Raw genomic sequence first — 25,556 nt, forward strand, 5'->3', positions numbered from 1 at the left:
TGATGGTTATGATGGTGGTGGTGGTGGTACTGATGATGGTGGAGATGATAGTGATGGTGATGATGGTGGTGATGGTGGTGGTGGTGGTGATGGTGGTGGTGGTGGTGGAGGTGATGGTGGGGTTGGTGGTGATGAGTGTGATGATGTGATGGTGGTGGTGATGATGGTGGTGAGGATGGTGTTGGTGGTGATGAGTGTGATGATGTGGTGATGGTGATGGTGGTGGTGATGGTGGTGATGGGGGGGTTGGTGGTGATGAGTGTGATGATGATGATGTGATGATGGTGGTGATGGTGATGGTGGTGGCGATGGTGGGGTTGGTGGTGATAAGTGTGATAATAATGACGGTGGTAATGATGGTGTTGATGGTGGTGGTGAGGATGGTGGTGGTGATGATGGTGATGATCATGGTGATGGTGGTGATGTTGGCGATGATGGTGGTAATGATGGTGGCAATGGTGGTGGTGATGGTGGGGTTGGTGGTGATGAGTGTGATGATAATGGTGGTGATGATGGTGATGGCAGAGATGGTTACAATGCTGAGAGTGATGATCTTGGCGGTGATGGTGGTGATGTTGGCGATGATGGTGGTAATGATGGTGGCAATGGTGGTGGTGATGGTGGGGTTGGTGGTGATGAGTGTGATGATAATGGTGGTGATGATGGTGATGGCAGAGATGGTTACAATGCTGAGAGTGATGATGGTGATGGTGACGATGGTGATATAAGTCCCCATGCGCACTTCCTCTTCTCTAGCTCTGTCTCTCACCTGCTCTTGCCTGAGCTCCACTGTGGCCACCCACCTGTGACCTGTGGATGGAAAGTAATTCTAATTATGACATTTTCCTACAAAGAACAAACCACTGGGCTTCTCTGGAGCACAAAGGCATGGCGAGATGAGCAGTTTGCCCCACAGGACGCTGGCATTGCCCTCTGAACTTTTTCCCAGATGTGCTGAGGACAAGGAAGTCAGGAGTGTGGCTTGTTTTCCATCTGCTCAACACTGCTCGTGCCTGGAGCCCCCCAGCTGTGCCTATCAGCCCCTAGGGGTTGGCTGTCAGGGGAGCAGAGAGACTCTTGGGGCAGCGTGGCCTTGGTCACAGCAGAATGCTGGGTTCTGACATTTATGAGCCATGTGACCTTGGCATGCTCCTTGACCTCTCTAAACCTTGCATGACACTTAGGAAGGTTAATAAGATCACGTCTGTGAGAGGTCTTAGTGCCACAGTAGATCAGTGTCAGTGAGGGTAGGGACTTAGCTCTGTGGCTTGGGAGGCGCAGGTGGCAGTGAGTAGCCAGTGGGTGAGACCCAGAGAGGCTGTGCCTGTGAGCGGCTGGGCAGAGTGGGAATGGGTGCTGTCAGCTGGGTGCACAGGCAGAGGAGGTACCGCTGCCCACAAAGGGAAGTCTCTGAGTTGGAGCGGAGCAGGGGCGGGAGAGAAGGCAATTGGGGCCTTCCTGGGTTTGGGAGGCTCAGCACCAGGAGCAGCCCACAGCCAGGGCTCAGGACCCAGGGGCTCACCCAGCCCTCCTGACCAGGCTAACCTGCGGGGTCTGGAGGGAACACGGGCAGCCACGGCCATGCGCACTGGGAATAAGTGAGAGGCTCCCGCTATCTCAGACCTGGCGTGGGAGCTGTGGGCCTTTCCAGGGCCCGGCTGCTGCGGAGGTAGGAGTTTGGTGTTGGCAGCAGGAGCAGCAAGGACACACTTTAGGACCTACAGCGTGGAGGCAGGAGGACAGGGAAATGGCCTCGAATGAGTCCGTGACCCCTTGAGGAATCTGCACACGACTCCTGGCTGTCTTGTCACTTGATGTAAGGCCTCAAGCGGCATCTCCTGAGGATTTCATGGAGGCCAGAGGGGACTCACCCAGAGGTGGAGGGATGCAAGCTCAGAGGCCAGGGTGGGCGGGGGCTGGAGCTGCTCTGTGACAGCCCAGAGCTCCCGGAGCCGCAGCCACCGTCCCAAGAGAGCTCAAAAGAGGAGGGGGTGGGAAGGGGGAGGTAAAAGCTGTTCAGCCAAGGCTTTCTCAGCCTGGGGACTGACCTGGGTTTGTCCTATTCTGTGAACCAACCCAAACATGTAAATGTCCTGGCACTGAGCAAAGCCTTCCCCAGGGGCGTTTTCCCTGAAGGACTTCTCAGAGCCTTTAATGGGCCAGGGAATCTTGTCACGCTCAGGTGATGGTAGAGGAGGAAAGGACTTCTCCAACCGTGGTGACTCTAGAACCTCTCCCTACAGCAGCTCGGGGAGCTCCAGCTCTGGAGAACACACTTTGGGAAGCCTTCCCACGCAGGACAGAGGTCTCTCTGCCGGGCTGCGAGCCCTGCCCACTTGTGACCAGGGTTTTCAATCCCCTGGTGTGAGAGCAGTCTCAGGTAGCCCAAGCCTAAGTGGAAAAGGGGCCGGGAGAGGCGGCTGGGCACCCCCTCGCTGGGGCTGGTCTCCTGGGTCCCTGTTTCCTGTCTCAGGAACTGGGAGGAACCCACTTCCACCACCCAGCAGGGGAAGACTGAAAGTATTAGGGGGCCTGTCTGGGGTCAGTCCCACTGTGGACTTGGGCACTGCCACTCCACCCCCCCCTGCTGCCACAGGCAGTACCCAAAGGTGGTGCATTCGGACCCTGAACCCCCAGCTTCATGGGTTCTAGGACCCTCCTCTCCATGGCTCAGCTTCCAACTGATGACCCCTCTCCAGAGCCAGCCTCTGTCCTCCAGCAGGAGGTAGCTTTGGCCTCTCTTGGTCTCTGACCCGCATGTCCCTTCTGCGCTGCAGTCTCCTGGGCTCAGGGTCCTCCTTCAGACTCCTCCAGGGAGGCCACACCCTCACACAGACCTGCCCTGGGCTCCCTTCTCTGCTCTGAGCAGCCCCTAGTCTTACAGGAGCTCTGCAGAGGCCCTTCCGCTGCAGAAGAGCTTAGGTGACAAGCCAGAAGCCTCAGGTGGCCTCCTTGTTTTGCCAGCCCTCCCCCGTCGGTTCCTTGCTTTTTCTACCCAGCTTGGATCTCGGGGGGCTGGCCTGGATGGATTTTGTCAATGACTCACTTGCCCTTTAATGATCATTGCATTTGGGAAGCCCTGGCCAGAGATGCAAGTGTAGCAGGAGAGGTTGGAATGTTCCTGTGCCTCCTCCCGGAGCTGCTGCTGTGGGGCAGGGAGACTTCTCCCTTCTGGTGGCCTCCTCTCCTCCAGCCCCTCCTTCTCACGAGGCTCTGTGAGACTGTTTTGGGCCTGGAGGCGGCAACAGCTTTCCACGGGGCTGGGTGCCGGGTGCCTCAGTGTCCCCCACTGTCCCTCCATTCTGCCCACTCCTCTGCAAACAGCCTCTGCATCACGTGTTCTTCAAGATGCCAGCCGAGCGCGCCTGCAGGAGCCTGTCCTGCTCAGGGGCGGAGGGCTCTGCTCGTGTGGGCACAGCTCTGAGGCGGTCCTTGTAGCAAACATCGCTGACTGCCTACCACACGCCCGGGGACCTCCTGGGCACCTGTCAGTCATGAACGTAACAGGTTCAGGTTACCCAAGTCCCATGCCCTAACTGGGCAGTTGCACCATGGGCAGCAACAGACCCTGGGCTTCAGGATGTCCCAGCAGAGCCGCAGCAGCCACAGAGCAACCCCTCTTCACCCTGGGGATGGGGCTGGGCCTCTGAGAGCAAGCATGAGATTGCAGAGCCAAAACCCAAGCTGTCAAAACGACCAGCAAGAAAGACAGTTTGGATTAATTGGCACAGGGAGGTCCCTAGACATTTAGATTATGGCTGCTCCTGGGCTGGAGCGTGGAACCCAGAGACATTTCACAAATTAACATAAATCCTGTGAACCCTCTGTCCATTTCAACGCTTAATGCCAAACATAAACAAATGAAAGTCATTTCAGAAGCTGGAGGAGTTTGAATAATTCAGTCCCATCATCATTTACTCCAAAACGCCTCATTTCATCTTATGAGTCATCGTTGAAAGGAAAAGAAGATTTTACTTGGTATTAGAACCGGGAGAGCTGGAAAAGCTTCGAAGAGGAAGGAGGCTGCCAGCTTCCTGGGTGCACAAGGCCGTGGCCAGCTTCCGGGCTCAGTCGTGGACAAAGGCCTCCTGGGACAGAGAAGTGGCCTCTAAGCAAAGGCGGTGGTGTGACGCTAGCAGGCCTGTGTCCACCTCCTGGTCAGGCTGCTGACTGGCGGGGCTCTGGGGGTAAGGCCTTGGTCCTGCCGTGCCTCCTCCTGGCTCATCTGTGACACAGAAATGACAGTTCCTACTCCCCAGCTTGTGCGGGCCCAAATGGGATGGGGTGTGTGTGTGAGGACTGGGGCCTAGGCCTGTGCAGGGCAGGTTGTGTTACTAACGTCCCCCCGTGGCTCCTGGGCTAACGGTGCACTTCTCCGTCCTGCTTCACTGCCTTATGGCACGTGTCCATTTCCCCAACCACCGGTGGGCCCCGGGTGGCTTGGCCGGCCTGGTGTCCCGTGCCCAGCATGGGCTCTGGCCCAAGTTAGCACTTGCTGCCTAAGTGCCTCTGCCTTTTACTCACCTCCATCTGGAGCGGGCTCAGTGGGGTTCCTGCTGGGGCTCTACGGGGGCATCCAGACTTTGCCCTCTGACCAGCCCCACTGTCCTGTCCTTCCCTCCCCTGCGTCCTCATCTGTCACTCCTTGGTCACAGCCGCCCCCTGACTTTCCTCCCTGCCTCCTTGGCATGGTGGGAAACATGCGAGTTCCATTTCTGAGGCTGCCTTGTGCCTGATCTTGGGCAAGTTGCTTGCTAGACCTCTCGGCGTCTCCGTTCTCAGCGGTGCGGGTAACCTGGCCCTGTGCTACTGTGTGTGGGTTTACAGCCAAGGCCTGTGAGGCACGTGACCACCAAAACCCTCACGAGGCCATGTGGTCGTGGCTACGGGTTTAATCTAAAATTCATTCTGATCCCTTGGCCTTGGAAAAGGCACTTAGCAGGGTGGTGAGGGCCACAGGTGTGGTCTGAGCTCCTGGGGAGCTACCGAGGGCAACAGGCATGTTCTGGAAGACCCACCGTCTGAGGGGTCATGTGACAGGTGGGCTAGGTGGGCACAGAATGGGAAGAGAGGCAGTGAGGCAGCCTCTCTGCAGAGGAGGGGCTTCACAGAGGAGGCAGCGGCTCAGGTGGTCCCAGGAGGATGGGTGGGGTTCGGAGGCAGAGGGCTGGACTTGGAAGGAAGGAAGAGCGGACACAGGGCCTCTGAGCGGACAGTGCTGGCGGAGCCCTGGGGAGCACCGAGTCCCCGCCGTGATGGGTCCCTGAAGCACCGGAGCCAGCAGCAGGAGCATGCGGGGGAGACCTTGGCCCAGCCCTGCAGTCAGGCAGTAGGTGAGCCCTGAAGGGTGAGGTTGCTTCAGCTGGATGAGAGGGTGTGGGAGAGAGGAGCATCCCAGGCAAAGTGAGCCGCGTTTACCTGGAGACCAAGGGTGGGAAGCGAGGGAGAAGAGGTCGCGGTGAGCCTCGGGTGGACCCATGTGGCAGACCTGTGAGTTGGTCCCCGACAGCCTCCTGCCTTTCTCCCTGACTGCCCAGCAGCAGTGTTCTTGGGCCTCAGGGACGTGTCGTGACTGGCTGAAGGCTGTCACGGTGGTCCTGTGTAGGACTGGTTGCCACAGGTAAGTAGTGACCTGGCCTGGCCGATGCTGTGTTAGGATAAACGTGCTAAGGAGGCTCTGGAAAAGAATTTTCCTGCTTGGACAAGACAGAGACTCACACGAGGAAATTCCTTTTGTTCCTACCCTCACTTCCAGTGTTGAACACAGTCATGCTAGAAATGGTGCCTGGTGCAGCTGCAGCCGTCTTGCTACCAGCAGGGCAAGGCAGAGCCGGCCGCCCAGGGACCTGCCACTGTGGGGTGGCCGAAGCAGCCCTGGCACCACACAGCTGTTATATGCTGTGGTCAGAAGTCCTTATTAGGTGAGCAATTAATCAGATGTGTGGCTTCTCACCCTGTATTTCCTCTGGCAAGACCCTGCGGCACTGCAGACCCCTGTCCTCATATGAGGCCTAAGCAGTGAGGAGCTTCAGACCCGTGTGAAGACAGAAGGCGCGGGGAGCAAAGGTGGCCAGAGAGGGGTGGGGTGGGCCACGAGCCCCCACCAACTGCAGGCCCACGGCTCAGCAGCAATCTGAGGTCTCCCAGGCAGCCTTCTTGCCTTCCTTCCATGGCTCCTTGGAAAGAGCTGGGTTTCATCTCGGGACACAGTGGCATTAGGGATCGGCAGAGACCAGCAGGAGCCCTGGGTCCAGACTGTGGCTGTTTCTGTGGTGACCAGCAGCCGGCACTGCCTGGCAGTGCCTGGGAGTGGACGTTGAGGACACTGTGCCCAGGAGGTCAGTCTGCCCACCCAGGCTGTGTCCTGGTTGCTGGGTGGGGGTGTGAAGAGTCCAGGACCAGCCGTTGTCCCACCCAGCAAAACCCTCTGTGTGTGGATCCCATGGGGGGCCGGGCTCCGGGGATGGACAGCCAGCAGCCCTGGCCTGAGCAGCCATCCGGAGGAGGGAGCAGACAAGAAACAGGCAGTGACCGCACAGGGCGATGGGGCTGGGCAGGGAGGAGGCGGGTTCGCTGTGGCCAGATGCCAAGCCAGAGCCGGGAGGCCAGAGGGAGGGCCGCAGCCGGGACAGGAGTGACTGATGCCAGGGCCTCAGAGTGAAGACAGGGCTGGGGTCCCCTGCCCCCTGATGGGAAGGAGACTGCGTGGCTGGGGTCCCTGGGAGCGCATCCCTTTTGAGACCACACTCCTCAGCAGCACCTCCCTCTCTCAAGCACCAACACTGGCCTTTTGGCTGCCTGAGAAGGGGCTCTGGGGTCCAGGGGAGCCAGCTCAGCTCACCCCAGTGAGCTTCCCACACTCAGACAAGGCCCTACTCCAGGGCAGCTTGGCCCGTGCCTCTGCCCCTACCCCTGCCATGGCGTCTCTCCAGGCCCTAGGTCTGTACTCACATAACCCAGTCCTGCATTGTGCTGACTCAGCCTCTGAGCCTCAACAATCCCTCCTTCGAGTGGGGACAACATCCCTGCCTCCGAGGGCTGGTGTGCGGATCGAGGGAAGTCACAGGTAGTCACAGCTCTGTGAAGGGTAACGCGAGCGCCTAGGCTGGGAGGCTGGGTCTGCAGCTGCCGGCTCCACGGGCTGTCTCCACCTCTCCCTGCCTGGCTCTCCTGGCTCTTCGTTTCGTCATGTTCCTTCTGCCCAACCAGTCCTAGGGGGACAGGGAGACTCCTGGGCACAGGGGCTGCTCAAACTGCCCTGGGACAGATGGCCTCCTGCCCTGCCCCAGGCAGCACTGGGAAGCAGAAGGGCTGGGGGAACTCCAGCAAGGCCTGGGGGGCATTGAGCAAAGCCTGGAGAGAGCACACTTGTGGATGGGTGCACCTGTGGGTGGCCATACCTGCGGGGCGGGCACACCTGCAGGCTAGGAGTAGGGGGGCTGGGCGGTGGGCCCAGGGGAGGGTGTTACTGAGTTACGTGGCCCCCAGTGCTCCTGGTCCTTTCAACCTTTAAGTTGAAGATAAAGTCACTTTTGCAATACTAAAGACCAACAGATTCTAATATTCACTCCCATGCAGGAACTAAGTGCCTGTTACCTGCTGTCCTGCTTGTCCCATCTTAGGGTTTCCCAGGGCCCAGCAGAGCCTTTGCCATACCTTCTCTAAGGCCCAGGCTCTGGGAGGAAGGTCACTCAGACTTTCAGCACTGCTGCTGGTGGATGGGGCCCCTCTCAGAGGCCCTGGATCCTGCTGGGCCTGTCTGCCTGTCTGACCATGGAAACCTCCAATGGGGCAGGGTCCAGGTTTCCCTCCCTACAAGCACGCTCCTAAGCACGTCCGCTCTGTCGTTGTAGGTGTAGAACTCAACAATCACACCCTGCAAAGGCGGAGGAAACCCTCTTCCCTCCCCAGGCCCATTCTGTGTCTCAGGCCCTGCCTCTCCCCTGTATGTACCGCATACATCCCTTTCGGGGCTATGCACAGGCTTCAGGGGAGCCCCACCCATGGGGTGCATCTTCAGCAGGACAATCATCAGAGAATGTTGTGGTCCAGGATAGGGCAGTCCTCCACTTCTGGTCCTCCAGAAGTGGACTAACTAACATCTCCTCCAAAGTCATTCTTCTTCCATGTTTACGGTGACCTCTGTGTTCTAATCCTGGGAGAAGCCCTAAGCTGAGCTCACGGGAGCTGGGAGACCCTGCTGCCAAGCTGAGTCTCACCATCTTTGGCCCATTTTTTTTTTTTTTTTAGACAGGGTCTCGTGCTGTTGCCCAGCCTGGAGTGCAGTGGTGCGCTCTTGGCTCACTGCAGCCTCACCTTCTCTGGCTCAAGCAATCCTCCAGCTTCAGCTTTCCAAGTAGCTGAGGATACAGACGTGCATCACTATGCCTGGCTAATTTTTTGTATTTTTTTTTGTAGAGATGGGGTTTTGCATGTTGGCCAGGCTGGTCTTGAACTCCTGAGTGTAAGAGTTGAAGAAAGAAGAAAGAAACACGAAAAGTGGCTCAACAGTCCAAGACAGGTTTATTTTGGAGAATAAACCTGAGAGGGGCTTCTGGCCGATTGCTGTCAGGAGCACTCTCTCTTACAGACTAAGGGTATTTAAGGGTTTAGGGAGGGAGAGCTTATCGCAGGTTGGGAATGTTTCTGGTCAGAGGAGTGTTTGATTTCGGGGTAGGAATGTTTCTGGTTGGAGGGCGCTTTATCTCAGGGTTGGAATGTTTCTGATTGGAGGTGTCATTTGTGGTTTATGGTCATGCTGACAGCCATTAGGCTGATTTTTTGGGGGCTGGATTTAGGCGGTTTTTAATCAAGGGGAACTTAAAATGCTGCTGTTTGTCCAAAATGTTGATGCTCCTGCTTTGTCAATCCAGACCCTATAGTTATAAAAGGATGAGGGGCGACGTGCTCTTTCTGGCTACTTCCTGCTGAGAGAGGGTTGTCGTTATGGGACACTGAACATGGTGCTGGAGTGGAAGAGGTCGATTTGTTCTGGGTAGCACACTCTGCCTCAGAGGCCCAGAGGCAGCGCCCACTGAAACATCTAATTTTCAGCTCACAGGGCTTCAAGAAAGCACAGCTTAGGTTTTAGTGATCTCCAGCTAGAAAAAAAAAAGGGGGGGGGGAAGGAAAAGAAAAAGGAAAAATTGAAAACATTATTTTGGAGACTTGTAGCCAGAAAAATTAGAATTTAATCCAAACTGTAGAAAACAATAAAAATTGAAAAACCTCAGACAAGACTAGAATTTAACAACAGGTGTGCTACAGTTTTTGAAACACAATTCTCTCTCTCCAGTTTTCCATTTATATTAAAAGACAAATCATGGGGCCAGGTGTGGTGGCTCACACCTGTAATCCCAGCACTTTGGGAGGCCGAGGTGGGCGGATCACAAGGTCAGGAGATCAAGACCATCCTGGCTAACACAGTGAAACCCCGTCTCTACTAAAAATACAAAAATTAGCTGGGTGTGGTGGCGGGCGCCTGAAGTCCCAGCTACTCGGGAGGCTGAGGCGGGAGAATGGCGTGAACCCAGAAGGTGGAGCTTGCAGTGAACTGAGATCGTGCCACTGCACTCCAGTCTGGGTGACAGAGTGAGACTCAGTCTCAAAAAAAAAAAAAAAAAAAAAAAAAAAAAACAAATCATGGTATGACTAGTTTGCTTTGCCAGATTTTTTTTTAGGTAAAGTTTCACTCTTGTTGCCCAGGCTGGAGTGCAATGGTGCAATCTCAGCTCACTGCAACCTCCACCTCCTGAGTTCAAGCGATTCTCCAGCCTTACTTCCTGAGTAGCTGGGATTACAGGCATGTGCCACCATGCCCAGCTAATTTTTGTATTTTTAGTGGAGATGGGGTCTCACCATGTTGGCCAGGCTGATCTCCAACTCCTGACCTCAGGTGATCCACCCATGTCAGCCTCCCAAAGTGCTGGGATTACAGAAGTGAACCACCGCACCCAGCTGTGGCCAGATTATTTGTATAAGGTGCAGCAAGAATAATTATTTTTACATAGGCCTTTTAAGTTGGCTTCAAAAAAACTCTGTTTCATGGAAGGAATTTGAGATAAGACCTTTTTAAAGCCAATCCCAGCCATGGAAGTGCACCATCAAATACCTGTGAGTTGGGTGAATTCTTCCACTCTTGAGGCTCCAAGATAACCTGGGGTTCCTGGCCTGTGAGAAAGTGACATTCCTTTACTTACCTCAGGTCAGAAACCTGCACAGGGACTGCGCGCACAAAATATGAGGCCCACAGGGACCGCGCGCGCAAAATATGAGGCCCACAGGGACCGCGCGCGCAAAATATGAGGCCCACAGGCACCGCGCACACAAAATATGAGGCCCACAGGGACTGCGCGCACAAATTATGAGTCCCACAGGGACCGCGCGCGCAAAATATGAGGCCCACAGGGACCGCGCGCGCAAAATATGAGGCCCACAGGGACCGCGCGCGCAAAATATGAGGCCCACAGGCACCGCGCACACAAAATATGAGGCCCACAGGGACTGCGCGCACAAATTATGAGTCCCACGGGGACCGCGCACACAAAATATGAGGCCCGCCATCTAAGGGCTCTACTGGCTTCACAAGTCAAGTTTGATTCCTTAAAGGAGAGCACACCATTCCAGTCAAAGCCTTGCTAAAACAACCAGTTCTTCCAATTGTGTCCTGCCATAAAAGAAAACAGACTTTTGGTCGGGTGCCATGGCTCACACCTGTAATCCCAGCACTTTGGGAGCCCGAGGCGGGCAGATCACCTGATGTCAGGAGTTCAAGACCAGCCTAGCCAATGTGGCGAAACCCTGTCTGTACTAAAAAACACAAAAGTTAGCTGGGCATGGTGGTGCATGCCTGTAATCCCAGCTACTCGGGAGGCTGAGGCAGGGAGAATTGCTTGAACCTGGGAGGTGGAGGTTGCAGTGAGCCGAGATTGCACCACTGCTCTCCAGCCTGGGGAACAGAGCAAGATTCCATCTCAAAAAAAAAAAAAAGAAAGAAAGAAAGAAAGAAAACAGACTTGTATTGCACCTTTGCAAATAACCATACTGCCATAATTTAAGGATACTCACAGGTAGTTTCCAGACTCGGGAGAAAACCAGGCAGAGAGAAATAAGCATGCCTCAAATTTTGTTCATGGGAGCACACCAAACTGTCAAAAGCTGTTGATAGCTCAAAAGAAAAGCCTCTTTGACTCTGAAAAGCAAACAAAGGACCAACAATATTCCGAGCAAAACATCAAAAAGATCACTCCAGTCTGTTAGTTCAGTTCACGCAGTCAGTTCCTGTCCTGCCTGATATCAATGAACATTCCAGCTCTTCAAGAGTCCTGAACGTCCTTCCTCTATTCTGATGTCACAATCTGCAAAGTTATCAGAAACCTGCATTCAAGAGCACCTGTCAGAACTTTATAGCTGATCATAAAACCACCTTCTAAAGAGGACCAAAACAAGACAACAATTGTTCATGGATGACAAAAAGTTTTAGGGTGGCCGCAGTTAAAGACACAATTGATGAGGAAATCTGTTACCTACGTGGCACACAACAATTTTAACATAACAATTATAATTATTACTGATAATGTACACTAAAACATATCAGGATTGTAGGAGTCTCCCACAACCTTGGAACACATACCAAAAACATATCTACACAAATATAGCCCAAAGAAAGCCAAGCACCATTTCGTATTTGACAATATTTTCTGTATAATTTTTATACCAAATAAGCCAAATTTCACCTTTACATTAGTGTACTATGAATGTTAAACCGAATTAATAAATCCTTATAGACATATTTACTCAATTTTAATATTTGACCACAAGGTAAGATTTTTATAGACTTTTTATAGCCCTTTACAATTTTTGTTAAAGAGCAGGTTAGTGCTCTAAGAGAAACCCACTGTGCTTTTATTTTAATAAAATTTAATTTACAGAAAAACTGGAGGATACCCCTTTTAGCCAATATGTTTACACACAGAACTGCCTCTAAAATCAGCCTTTCACAACTAGCCCAAACCTTCATTTTTATTTTATCCAACTGAAAAAAAAATCCTTTAACCTTTCAAACTTGGCAAAAATCCACATTCTCATGCCTCCCTGCAATCTTTCTACCAAAACTATATTTTACTTTTCCTACATACCTTGCATGTAAGGACAGTGGCTTGGAATGTTGGAACCTTTCCTTGGAATGTTCTGGGTTTCAGCACCAAATGTAAGACTTGAAGAAGGAAGAAAGAAACATGAAAAGCGGCTCAACAGTCAAAGACAGATTTATTTTGGAGAATAAACCTGAGAGGAGCTTCTGGCCGATTTCTCTCAGGGGCACTCTCTCTTATAGACTAAGGGTATTTACGGGTTTAGGGAGGGAGAGCTTATCACAGGTTCAGAATGTTTCTGGTTGGAGGAGAGTTTTATTTTGGGGTGAGAAGGTTTCTGGTCGGCAGGGAAGTTATCTCAGGTTGGCATGTTTCTGGTTGGAGACAGGTTTATCTCAGGGTTGGAATGTGTCTGGTTGGAGGTGTCATTTGTAGTTTATGATCATGCTGACATTAGCCATTAGGCTGCTGTTTTTGGGGTGGATTTAGGTGGTTTTTAATCAAGAGGAACTTAAAATGGCAGTGTTTGTCCAAGATGGTGATGCTCCTGCTCTGTGACTGAGCTCAAGCGATTTGCCTGCCTCGGCCTCCCAAAGTGCTGGGATTACAGGCGAGAGGCACTGTTCCCAGCCGTTGGCCCGTTTTCTAAAGCCACGTCTTCCTCTGCGATCATCCAGAACAACACAGATTCTCCACCTCCTCTTTTTCTAAGCTCTTGCTGCAAATGCTGGAGAAAGAACAGTGAGCGTTCAGGCTGCAGCTTGGCCAAAAGGCCAGCGAGGGAGAAGTAATTACCTCGGCAATGACAGGTGTTCCATCCTTTCTTCTCCCCTGGAAATATCAGCCATCCATCAGCCAGGGCCAAACACCCACCCACATCTGGCTCGGAAAGCAGTAATGTACCAGGAAGCAGCTGTTTTCGAGAGAAGCCAGCCCTCTGTCAGTTTACTAGCTTATTCTCTCACTCATTCAACATTCCTGTGTTTATCATACCATCCCAGGGGTGGTGTGGCTTAAGGATGGGTCTCGGGCTGGCCTGGCTGCTCCTGTTTCCCGACTGCCACCCACTAGCTGTGTGACCTCAAGCAAGCTGCTTAACCTCCCATGCCTTGGTTTCCTCAACCATTAAGTGGGAGGTAACAATAGTGGCACCTACGCATAGATTGTTCTTGGGGGGTAAATGAATTAATACATGTGAGGGTTGGCCAGGCACAGTGGCTCACGCCTGTAATCCCAGCACTTTGGGAAGCTGAGGCGGACAGATCACAAGGTCAGGAGTTCGAGCCCAGCCTGGCCAATAAGGTGAAACCCCATCTCTCTACTAAAAATACAAAACTTAGCCAGGCGTGGTGGTGCAAGCCTGTAATTGCAGCTACTCGGGAGGCTGAGGCAGAAGAATAACTTGAACCCGGGAGGCGGAGGTTGCAGTGAGCAGAGATTGTGCCATCGCACTCCAGCCTGGGTGACAGAGTGAGACTCTGTCTCACAAAAATAAATACATACATACATACATACATACATGTGACGGTCTCCCAGACATGCACTCCGGCTCCACCTTGACCAAGGGGATGGGGCTCACGGTTAAGTCAAACTCTCAGGCTCTTTCTCCAGAGAATTTGAACTCTGAGCCTTGGGCTGATGACACAAAGACTCAAATGGTGGCTGCGCCTTTCTCCCCCAAGTGCACCCCCAGAGACTGCTGGTGCTTCCTGCTAGCTGGATCCCCAGAGCTGCTTGGTCCCTGTTCTAGGTGAGGCCATTCAGCAGTCCTTGTGATTTTCTGAGCATACTTTAGCCTTCTAGCACACTCCTCTCTTCCCCTAAAATTAGCCAAGAGTGGGTTTCTGTTGCTTGCATCCCAACTACCATCATTGGGACAGAGCCCCTGTGCTTGAGACAAGCAGAAGATAGACTTCTTTCACCTGGGGCCTGGCTTCGTCCAACAGCAGAGCCCAACCTCCAGGGCAGACTGACCCGTGATGGGCATGGGAGCCCAGAAAAAGGCCCCATCCAGCCTGTGGGATCAGAGGAGCCTTCTTGGAGGAGGTGATGCTGGGCGAGTGTTAAAGGATACCTAGGCATCAGCTAGGTGAAGAGAGCAGGGAAGGAGACTCCAGGGAGAGGAATGTGTGAGAAAATGGGGAGGAGAGGGAGGAACGGTTGGTGGGCAGCTGCCACTCTGTCCACTGGCAGAGAAGCAGCCAAGTCTCTGATGGAGCCCACCGGAGCAGCCTACCTGGCTTCTGTGGTCACTGGCTGTGACCCCGCCAGCCCTGCTCAGCGCTGTGCCCAGCCCTGGGTGCAGGGAGGTGCGGTTTGCTCTCAGAGGAGCAGCTAGCTGGGAGCATCCGAGGCCATTAGGGACAGGACGCTAATGCATCGGCGCCCCATTGATTCTGCCTGGCTTTTGTGAACACGTCTGCGCTGACTAATTTGTTTAATTACTCATTGCCGCATCTGTTCTCAATTGCCCTATGCAGATACTTAGTCTGTGGCTGGGAGCCAAGCCTCAGGGTCCCTTTTCCTCTTCCAAGATGGGTGGCACTGAACGCCGAGGCCACGGCCCGTCCTGATGTGGTCAGAGATGTCGTCATGTGCCACTAACAGGCGTCGCCAAGACCAGCCAGGTGCAGACCTTGGGTGGGTCCTATGGGGTCCTACAGGAAGCATAGGCATGGTCCCTGGTGGTCCCCAGGAGCACGGCTCTAACACAGCCGAGGCATAGTGTGAGCAAAGTCAGACGCAGTGGTTACAAGCAACCCCACGTGGTCTGCTTCGAATCCAGCAAACTTTTGTTTTCAGTGCCCAGCTCCCTAAGCCTTCTTTGTCCTTACCGTCTCTTCAGAATCTGTCTGCTTCACCCTGAATCTTGTCTATTGTCCTGGCTAGTTCAGCTGGAGGCCAGGGGTCGGAGACTTAGAGAAATGAGGAGGGGGCGTGGAGCAGGGGCTGAGGCCTGAGCGGTGAGTGGGGCTCGGTATTGACGATCAGCGAACAGTCTCCTGGGGAGTCAGCTTGAATGGGGCCTGTGATATCTGCGGCCAGTGCCCTCGGTATGTCCCACTCAGCATCCTCCCCAGGTCAGAACACATTTTGGGGCAGAACCGAGTTTTCTCTTCACTTTCAGACTCAAGTCCAGCTTATTGGGGCTTATGAAGACTTCCACCTCATACAGGATGAATGATTCTCTTCTCCATTCCCTCTGCTGCTCGTGGACACTCGGAGGTGGGGGAAGGCTCTGTTCTTTTACTTTTCTGGTTCTAGTTTCTCAGGGAATGAGGCAGGAGGAGAGACATGGAAAGGGAGAGAGATACCTTCCGTTTCAAGGAATATGCAGTTTGGATGTCTGAAAAAGATTTATGGCAGAGATGCTGGATGGAAAACAAACACACAGTTTGAGAGGGTCCTTTTTATTTTTATTTTATTTTATTTATTTATTTTTTTGAGATGGAGTCTTGCTGTGTCACCCAGGCTGGAGTGCAATGGTGCAATCTCCGCTCACTGCAACCTCTGCCTCCTGGTTTCAAGTGATTCTCCTGCCTCAGCCTCTGGAGTAGCTGGGACTACAGGCACCTGCCACCACCCCTGGATAATTTTTGTATTTTTAGTGGAGACGAGGTTTTCACCACGTTGACCAGGCTGGTCTCGAACTCCTGACCTCATATGATCCTCCCGCCTTGGCTTCCCAAAGTTCTGGGATTACAGGCATGAGCCACTGCGCCTGGCCAAGAGGGTGTCTGGGAGGCCGAAGCGGGAGGATCATGAGGTCAGGAGATCGAGACCATCCTGGCTAACATGGTGAAACCCTGTCTGTACTAAAAATACAAAAAATTAGCCAGGCATGGTGGTGGGCACCTGTAGTTCCAGCTACTCAGGAGGCTGAGGCAGGAGAATGGCGTGAATCTGGGAGGCGGAGCTTGCAGTGAGCTGAGATCGCACCACTGTACTCCAGCCTGGGCAACAGAGCAAGACTCCGTCTCAAAAAAAAAAAAAAAAAGTTAAACACATGTCTAACCTATGACCCAGAAATTTCAGTTCTGGGTATTTATGCACAAGAAATGAAAAGGTATCTATCTGCATAAAAAGACTTGAATAAGATTTTTCATAATAGTTGTATTCACCATAACTAAAAATATAAGCCACCTAAACATCTATTATGTGAAAGAGTACCCATGGAATGTATAGCTTGGATACTACTCAGCAATAAGAGAAGTATGAACAAGAGGTAGAATGCAGTTCAGAGACAAACACATGAAAAACACAAAAGAGAGGCAAAAAAAGGTGGCAGTGGAAGGAGGAATTCTGACACATGCTTAACCGGAGTTCCAGAAGAAGATAAGACAGTGAAGGGGACATGTGATAGTCAAAGGCAGGCCCCAATCCTCAGATCAGGAACCATAACAATTCTCAGAGAGAATAAATGAACAGAAATCCATATTTAGATCCATCAGAGTGAAACTGCAGAACACCAAAGACCACAAGAAGATTTTAAAAGCAGCAAGTACAAGAGAGATTACCCTCAGAACACCAACAACAGATTGACAGTTGACTTCACAACAGCAATAATGGAAGACACAGAGCTGGATACACAAAGGAAATTGACTACAATCTAGAATCCAAAAGATTCTTGAAGGATGAGGGCAAAATAAAGCCATTTTCGGATACACAAAAGCTGAGAGCAGCTATTGCAAAGAGACTCTCACTAAAGGGCCTCCACACCAATGCACTTCAGGAAGAAGGAAAGAGGTTTCGGACGGAAGGTCTGTGTGCAGAGGGAATGGCTGTCTCAGAGGCGACTCAAACTCAGTATGTCCAGAAAGGACTCACAATCTGCTCTCCCAGCCCAGCGCCTCCTGGGACTTTGGCCTCTGTGGATGATGACCACAGTCACTTGGGCCAGAAACATAGACATCATCTTGATACCCCTTCTCCCTCACCTCCCCCATATCCAGTCACCTCCAGTCCTGTCATCTTTGCCTCCTAATCTCTTTCATCTCTGCCCTTTTCTCTCCATCTCCATGGCCACCCAGCTGCCACTGCATTTTGCTCACCACCTGCAATTGGCCTTCCAGCCCCTGAACCCCTCTGATCTGCTCAGCCCGCTCTCCACACCGAACCCGAGGCTCTCTCTTTGAATGGCAATCTGATAGTCTCCCCCCTGTTTAAAACATGAAATGGTATCCTACTACCCTGGGGATAAAAACAAGACAAAAACGTTTAAGAGGTTAGAGAGGTCTTCATGATTCAGTCCCCACCCACCTCTCAGACTCACCTCCCGCCCCAGCCTCTCTGGACTCTTTTGGCCCCTCATGGGTGCCATCATTTTGCCCACATAGGCTCTTGTCTGTGCTGTTTTCACTATAGAGTGGGTCCTTCCCTTCTTTCTTTGTCTAATTCATGACACTCATCGTTTAGTGCATTTGGCACTTCCTCCAGGAAGCCTGCCTTGACCTCCCTGACTATATCAGCTCTCCCCCATTAAATGTTCCCCTCGTGCCATGGTCCCCTCATCTGTGACATTGATCACATGAGCAATTTCACATTTATTCATGTAGTTAGTTATAGTCTGGATCCTCCTTTGGATTTTAAGTTCCTATAGGTAAAAGCCTTCCTCTCCTTTGGCCACCGAGATATCTCCAGGACTACCATGGACATGCAGTAAACATTCACCAGTTGTTGAATTTATGAGTGGGTGAGTGGTGCCTGCCACCCTAGAATTTCCCTTATTTGAAATTCTAGAATAAGCAGATTCACTTCTTTTTCACATCCATGTGAATTTTTGTTCTTGTATAAATGAATAGTAAGTAAGAGCCATAAGAAATAATTGGAGAAAGAAGGAATTGGGAATTGGGAAGAGAAAAGAGAGAAAAACAATAGAGGCAGAGCAGGGGCTTTTTGCAGTGATGCTTGGGGAGAAGAAGGAAGCCGAAGGGACAGCAAGTGGGTAGATGGCAGGTGACTGGCCCCAGGTTATCCAGAGCAGAGCTGAGACCACCCAGTCCTAAGGGGAAGGGGCTGGGAAGGAAGCCACTCAGCTCTGCCAAGCAGATTAAATACAGATCAACAAGAGCCTTTCCCATTTTGAAAATGTACATTGCTCTGTGTTGCTGGGACTGCAGTGAGACCCAGGAGGCAGGAATAAACAATTCTGAGTCATAAAATCATTAAGGCATCAAACATTTGGATCGATGAGCAGACACAAAAGAATATGCTTCCTATACACATGTTAAAAGCCTAACTCTTGACAAGGATCTCACCGAATCTCTTGGGCAGAAGGATTCTGTAATGGAAAGTAATTGCACGCCACTCATCTTTGTTAATTTAAGATGAGTAAAGGGTTATTGATTCACTCTTTGTTTCATGAGCTGTTTTCATATTGAATTTCAGTGAACAAAAATATTTTTAATAAGGATTTCATGGGCTTATTTGGCATCTTTCTCTCCCAAGCTGCAGAGCTATAGATCCAACTGCCAGCTGGACAAACCCAACTCATCTCCAGCCATGGCCCCTCCTGATGTGAGCCTATCTCAGGTTCTGGTACCACAATCCACCCAGTGCCAAGCCAGACACTCACGTATCACCCTGGATGCCCTCCGCAGCCCCTCACCCATCCAACAGATGCCCCGTCCCTGTGCCTGCTAACTCCCTCCCACCTCTCCAGCTCAAGGCCTCCCTCCCACGTGCTGGATCCTGCCTGTTCAGACCTGTCCTGTCTCCTGGTGGCCAAACTGGCCTCCCCAGTCAGTCCCTGCTGCAGAAAGTGGTTTCTTTCTTTCTTTCTTTCTTTCTTTCTTTTTTTTTTTTTTTTGAGATGAAGTCTTATTCCATCGACCAGGGCCTGGAGTGCAATGGTGCAATCTTGGCTCACTGCAACCTCTGCCTCCTGGGTTCAAGCAATTCTTTTGCCTCATTCCCCTGAGTAGCTGGGATTATAGACATGCACCACCACGCATGGCTAATTTTTGTATTTTTAGTAGGGGTGGGGTTTCACCATGTTGGCCAGGCTGGTCTTGAACTCCTGACCTCAAGTGATCCACTGATCTTGGCCTCCCAAAGTGCTGGGATTACCCCTGTGAGCCACCGCACCCAGCCTGGAAAGTAGTTTCTATAGTACAAAGCCGGGGGTGCTGCTCCCCTGCCCCACACACCTCAGCACCTCCATGTTGCTTCCTGTGGAGTAGACACTATTGTTTTGTCTGCCCAGTCTCTTCTTTTCTTGTGGGAATATGCTTCTGGAATATTTGTCTGGAAAACCCTCTCCTTTTGATAACTGTCTTTGCCTCCCTGGGACTGCAGCTGACGTGCTTGCATGTGTGTGTGTGTGTGCGCGCGCGTGTGTGTGCGTGCATGCGTGTGTGTGTGTGTGTGTGTGTTGGGATCGGCTTCCAAATCTTCCTACTGGGGGAATGCCCATTATCCATTAGATGCCACTCAGTGGGAAGTGGTGCCCCACCCGTCCGTGGAGACCTAAGGGGCTTAATAGATCCTCCCTGCATAGCCAGAGACGGATACAATCTGGGCTCAGTGAATCGGTGCTTTGACTGCTCACAGCGTAGCTGAGAGCTTACTCCCAGAATGGCGAAGGTGGCAAAGAGTCCCCATAGCTGGTGTTGTTGGCTGCCATCACCCCTTTTATCCAGGGGCACAGCTGAAATCTGTGCCACTCGGCTCTGCTGGGCAGGTGGGATAAATCTGCCCCAGCCTCTGTGCTGTCCCCATCCCTGCTCCTGCTGCCCAGCAGCCTGGAGTCCTTCTCCAGACTTCCTGTAACTCTCTCCCCAAGCCAATGCCCTCCCTCGGGTGAACAAGGGCCCCTCCTTGTGACCCATGGTGCCTGGCTTGCCTTGGCCCCAGCCCTCCTCCCTGTGCCGAAATCATCTCTCTGTGGACCTTTCTCCCTCATGGACTCCCACCTCCTTGTGGGCAGGAACCAGCCCTTGGCCATGTTCCGGCTCCCTAGTGCCCAGTATGTGTTTGGTGAATTTGGGGGCATGGGTTGGATGATCTTGGTTCAGTTACCAAATCTTTCTTTCCTGTCCAATCAGTCTTCCAGGATCTCAACCAGTTCTCTCACTGCAGAGTCTGGAGAAGCCCAGCCCTCATTGTGAAGGGAGAGCCACCGTGGTGCTCACAGCAAGACACCCAGAGTCCCTTCCAGACAGGGACACCCCTGGAGCGACCCTGTTTCAGAATGAAGTTATCTGGGTGGGAACTCACCAAGAATGCACAGAGGGCGCTGGGCTCCAAGCTTCAGCATATCCTTTCACTGGACTCCACACAGGCCTGCGGAGCAGGTGGACCCACCATTCTCAGACCCCCCAGGGCCCCATAGACAGCAGATCTGCTGCTTTCAATCACACCCACTGCCTCTCATGCCGGAGTGGGGGAAATGGAACCCGCAAAGCCTGCAGGCCAGGGAGGGTGGGAAACTGGGGTGATGTGAGCCCACAGGGTGGAGCACTGTGGACTGAATGCCTGTGTCCCCTGGGTTCATATGTTGAACCCCTAACTCCCAATGTGATGGTGTCAGGAGGTGGAGCCTTTGGGAGGTGGTTAGGCCGTGAGGGTGGAGACCCATGCTGGGGTTGGTGCCCTTATGGTTCTCCCATGTGAGGACACAGAGGGCAGCCATCTACAAGCCAAGAAGAGAGGCCTCACCAGACACCAAACCTGCCGGCACCTTGCTGTGAGATTTCCAGCCCCCAGAGCTGTGAGAAATAAATTTCTGTTGTTTAAGGCACTCAATATTTTGTTACAGTAGCCCAAGCTGACTGAGCAGATATTCATATGGAAAGTGAATTTTGATCTCTACTTCATGCCGTACATAAAAGCCAATTCCAGATTGACTGTAGATACAGATTGGCAAAGCAAAACAGTACAGTTTCTAGAAAGAAACAGGAAAATATCTGCATGAGGTGGTCAAATATTTCCTAGAGAGGACACAAAAAGCACTAACTACAAAATAAACAATGATAAATTGGACTGCATTAAAATTAAGAACATCTGTTTAACAAAAGACCCCACGAAGAGCGTGAGAAGCCAGAGTGCAGAGTGGGAGGAGAAATCTGACCTGAGATGGGAAATTAGAATATGAAGAACTCCTTCAAGTCAGCAAGAAGACAGGCAAGCCGAGAGGAGGACGGGCAAACGACCTCAACAGACACTTTACAGAAGAGATATCCAGGCCAGGTGCAGTGGCTCATGCCTGTAATCCCAGCACTTTGGGAGGCTGAGGCCGGTGGATCACCTGGGATCAGGAGTCCAAGATCAGCCTGGCCAACATGTCGAAGTGCCATCTCTACTAAAAATACAAAAATTTGCTGGGCTTGGTGGTGTGCACTTGTAATCCCAGCTACATGGGAAGCGGAGGTGGGAGAATTTCTTGAACCCGGGAGGCAGACTTTGCAGTGAGCTGAGATCGTGCCACTGCACTCCAGCCTGCGGGACAGAGTGAGACTCCATATCAAAAAAAAAAAAAAAGATATACACATAAGAGAATATTCAACTTTATTAATCATTGGGGAAATACAAATTAAAGCCAAAGGGAGACAACACTCCTTACCCCTAGGAATGGCTAAAGTTAAAAAGATGGGAATACCCATGTCAGGAAGGATTTGAAACAACTGCAACTCTCATATGCTGCAGGTGGGAAGTAGGAGGCAGGCCTCCACTCCAGAGGAGGGGCTCACATGACACACACCAAATTGAGGACTAGCTAGAACAGGGATGGCTGGAAGCAGCTTTCCATAAGACACACCCACCAGTGTGCCACGTCAGTTTACCATTGCCATGGCGACACCCAGAAGTTAATGCCCCTTTCCATGGCAATGACCTGATGACCCAGAAGCTACCATCCTTTTCCTAGAAATTTCTGAATAATCCACCTCTTAATTTGCATGTAATTAAAAGTGGCAATAAATCTGACTACACACTACCTCTGAGCTGCTGCTCCGGGCACACTGCCTATGGGGTAGCCCTGCCCCACAGGGAGCAGCCCTTCTGCTGCTGCTGCTGCTGTTTACGGCTGCTTCAATAAAAACTGCTAACTCCATTGGCTCGCCCTTACCTTCTTTCTTGGGTGAAGCCACAAACCCTCCTGGGGTAAGCCCCAATTTTGGGGCTCGCCTGGCCTGCATCAGTGGGAGTTTTTGGCAGTATAAGTTAAGCTGGATACAAGTATCCTCCATGGTGTGACTTCTAGGCAGCATATAATCAATTAAAATGCAAACATAAGTTACCAAAAGACATGTACAAGAATGTTCCTAGCAGCCTATTCATAACAGCCAGAACTGGGAGTACTCCGGATGTTACCAAGAGGAGAATGGGTAAGTCAATTGTGGTATATTCATGTAATGGAATACTCCACAATGAGAACAAATGAACCACACCTTCATGCAACAGTGTGGATGGCGATTCGAGTTCAAAAACAGGCACCATTAGTTGGTCATATTAGAAATAAGGCTGTGCTGGCCAGGCATGGTGGCTCACAACTGTAATCCCAGCACTTTGGAAGGCCGAGGCAGGTGGATCACTTGAGTCCAAGAGTTTGAGATCAGTCTGGGCAACGTGAGGAAACCCTGTGTCTACAAAAATACAAAAATTAGCTAGGCGTAGTGGCACATGCCTGTAGTCCCAGGGAGGGAGGCTGAGGTGGGAGGATTGCTTGAGCCCGGGAGGTGGAGGTTGCAGTGAGCAAAGATTGTGTCACTGCGCTCCAGCCTGGGTGACAGAGTAAGAACCTGTCAGAAAAGAAAGAAAGAGAAGAAAGAAAGAAAAGAAAGAAAAGAAGGAAGGAAGGAGGGAAGGAAGGAAGGAAAAGAAAATAAAAGGAAAAAAGAAAGAAAGAAAAGAAAAGAAAGGAAGGAAAGAGAGGGAAGGAAGGAAGGAAAGAAGGGAGGGAGGGGAGGGAAAGGGAGGGAGGGGAGGGGAGGGAAAAGATAAGAAAGGAAAAGAAAAGACATAAGGTTGTGTTGGCCGGGCGCAGTGGCTCACGTCTGTAATCCCAGCACTTTGGGAGGCTGAGGTGGGTGGATTGCTTGAGCCCAGGAGTTTGAGACCAGCCTGGGCAACATAGTGGGGCCTTGTCTCTACAAAAAATAAAAAAATTAGCCAGGTGTGGTGGCAGGTGCCTGTAGTCCCAGCTTATTCGAGAGGCTGAGGTGGGAGGATTGCTTGAACCTGAAACGTGGAGGTTGCAGGGAGCTGAGATCGTGCCACTGCACTCCAGCCTGGGGGACAGAGTGAGACCCTGTCTCAAAAAAAAAAAAAAAAAAAAGAAGGCTGTGTTTACCCTTGGAAGGTCACGAGGGAGGGAGGTTTCTAGGGGTTCCAGCAATGTTCTATTTTTTGATCCAAGTACTGGTTCTCAAGCATGCTCACTTTGTGAAAATTTACTGGGTGGAACTGTGGGGAAAAGAGAGAGATCAGACTGTTACTGTGTCTGTGTAGAAAGAAGTAGACATAAGAGACTCCATTTTGTTCTTGTGGCCCAGGCTGAAGTGCAATGGCGCGATCTCGGCTCACTGCAACCTCCACCTCCCAGGTTCAAGCAATTCTCCTGCCTCAGCCTTCCCAAGTAGCTGGGATTACAGGCATGCGCCACCACGCCCGGCTAATTTTGTATTTTTAGTAGAGATGGGGTTTCTCCGTGTGGGTCAGGCTGGTCTCAAACTCCCGATCTCAGGTGATCTGCCCACCTCGGCCTCCCAAAGTCCTGGGATTACAGGTGTGAGCTACCGCGCCCGGCTAATTTTTTTGTATTGGTTGCAGTGAGCCGAGATCGCGCCATTGCACTCCAGCCTGGGCAACAAGAACAAAATGGAGTCTCTTATGTCTACTTCTTTCTACACAGACACAGTAGCAATCTGATCTCTCTTTCCTTTCCCCACATGGAACTCAATTTGTGTTTTTCAAACAAAGATGTTACACCTTGCAGTTTGTACTCTGTTAAATGCTTTTAAATTTTACACACAAAACTCCAAGGGATCACATGAGTGACAGAATTGAAACACTCACACTGTTTTTTGGGTTTGGAAACCACCCCCGCTCCATCCCACACAGGGGCTTGCGGATCCAGCTCTGTGCCCGGCCCCCCTCTTGCACACATCCGGAAAGCAGGTGGGCAGGGAAAGCAGGTGGGTGTGGTCTGGAGGAGAGAGGGGCACAGGCTGAGAATGGTGGGGGGGTCCCTGGGCCCTGCATGGTGAGAGGAGGCCCAGGGCAGGGCCTTCTAAAATCCAAGGCCCCGACAGCAGGATCCCTGGCTGCCTAGGTCTAGGGGCAGGACCGAAGGTCATCGAGGACGGGTGGCCTGGGATTGCTGGCACCAATTCCTGTTACCTCGAGGGTGGGGCCTGCCAAAAGGAGGGATTAGGATGAGGAGGCAATGCCTCCCTTAAGGAATTCTGACTGTGACTCGGTCGTTGTAGGGAGGGGGCTGTGCATTTCCATGCAGGCAAGTCAGGCCCTGGGCACATCCTGGCTCCTGTCTTGGAAGCTGGTGAACACCCCTAGCCAGTGTGGCCGAAGGCAGCATTCTGGACCAGTCCAGGCCTTCTGCACGGGTATAGCACAGCCCTTTGCCTCTCACTATATGGGCTGTGCCAGGACATAGTACCTTGACCTTCAAGTTCTTTTTTTTTTTTTTTTAAATTGAGACAGGGTTTTGCTCTGTCGTCCAGGCTGGAGTGCAGTGGCACGATCTCAGCTCACTGAAACCTCCGCCTCCTGGGCTCAACGGATCCTCCTGCCTCAGCCTCCTGAGTAGCTGGGACTACAGGCACCTGCCACCATGCCTGGCCAGTTTTAAAAAATATTTTGTAGAGAGTTGCCCAGGCTGGTCTCAAATTCCTGGGCCCAGGCAGTCCTCCCACCTTTGCCTCCCAAAGTGCTGGGATTACAGTTGTGAGCTGCCACACAGCCCCCCAGGTTGTTATCACTCATCACAGAATGTTCTCAGCTTGTTCTTCTGCGTGTGGCCAACCTGGAGGCGCAGGGCTGGGTTCCCATGCGGCCTCCTTGCCACAGGGTCCAGGAAGGCTGTTTCCAAACCCTCTTGGCAGGAAGATACACTTCTGGTGGGATTCAGGTGGAAAGAGACTCCCTCACTACTGGAGAGCAGGCTGGGGTCTGTGTGCTTGGATAGTTATCCCACAGAGAGGGACTTCACAAGCCCGAGAGAGAACAGTCCCACCAGGAACAGAGGAGGAGTGAACAGGACAGAGACACAGACAGGCAGGACTTTTCTGAACAGTCATTTGAACCAGAGAACAATTTTTCAATGGACAATAAATGTTGCATATAATTGAAATCTCGGTTACATTCCCTGAAAAGTGCTTTCTGTGCAACCTGAGATAAGAGACTCTCCTGGAGCTGCGGTTTCCTCATCTGTTACACAGTGGTTATAACGCCTTGCCGTTTCTATCCGGGATGACTGGGAAATTCCTCTGGAAAACAACTACAAAT

General features: G+C 51.8%; 1 protein-coding gene, 1 long non-coding RNA gene and 1 other non-coding gene across 4 annotated transcripts in view; 1 reads left to right on the forward strand and 2 right to left on the reverse strand.

Moving 5' to 3' along the window:
• The window catches only part of RRM2 (ribonucleotide reductase regulatory subunit M2), an 88,443-nt gene extending 67,606 nt beyond the window's left edge, over window positions 1–20,837 (forward strand). Inside the window, exons 12-13 of the transcript NR_164157.1 lie at window positions 8,419–8,597; window positions 20,138–20,837. The gene's annotated coding sequence lies outside the window, so the exon portion shown is untranslated. The remainder of the gene's footprint in view (window positions 1–8,418; window positions 8,598–20,137) is intronic.
• Window positions 2,441–2,498, reverse strand: MIR4261 (microRNA 4261). The gene has a single exon (NR_036222.1). It is a non-coding gene; the product is annotated as a microRNA 4261 (primary transcript).
• On the reverse strand, window positions 8,501–11,300 carry LOC105373424 (uncharacterized). 2 transcript variants are annotated; one of them, XR_922789.3, is made up of 3 exons: window positions 11,068–11,300; window positions 10,112–10,170; window positions 8,501–9,101 (listed from the first exon to the last, which is right to left on the reverse strand). It is a non-coding gene; the product is annotated as an uncharacterized LOC105373424 (long non-coding RNA). The 2 variants fall into 2 exon arrangements; XR_007086208.1 differs by lacking the exon at window positions 10,112–10,170.
• Window positions 20,838–25,556: the final 4,719 nt, after the last annotated feature.

Source organism: Homo sapiens, chromosome 2 (genome assembly GCF_000001405.40).
Source record: "Homo sapiens chromosome 2, GRCh38.p14 Primary Assembly".
Classification (NCBI taxonomy): domain Eukaryota; kingdom Metazoa; phylum Chordata; class Mammalia; order Primates; family Hominidae; genus Homo; species Homo sapiens.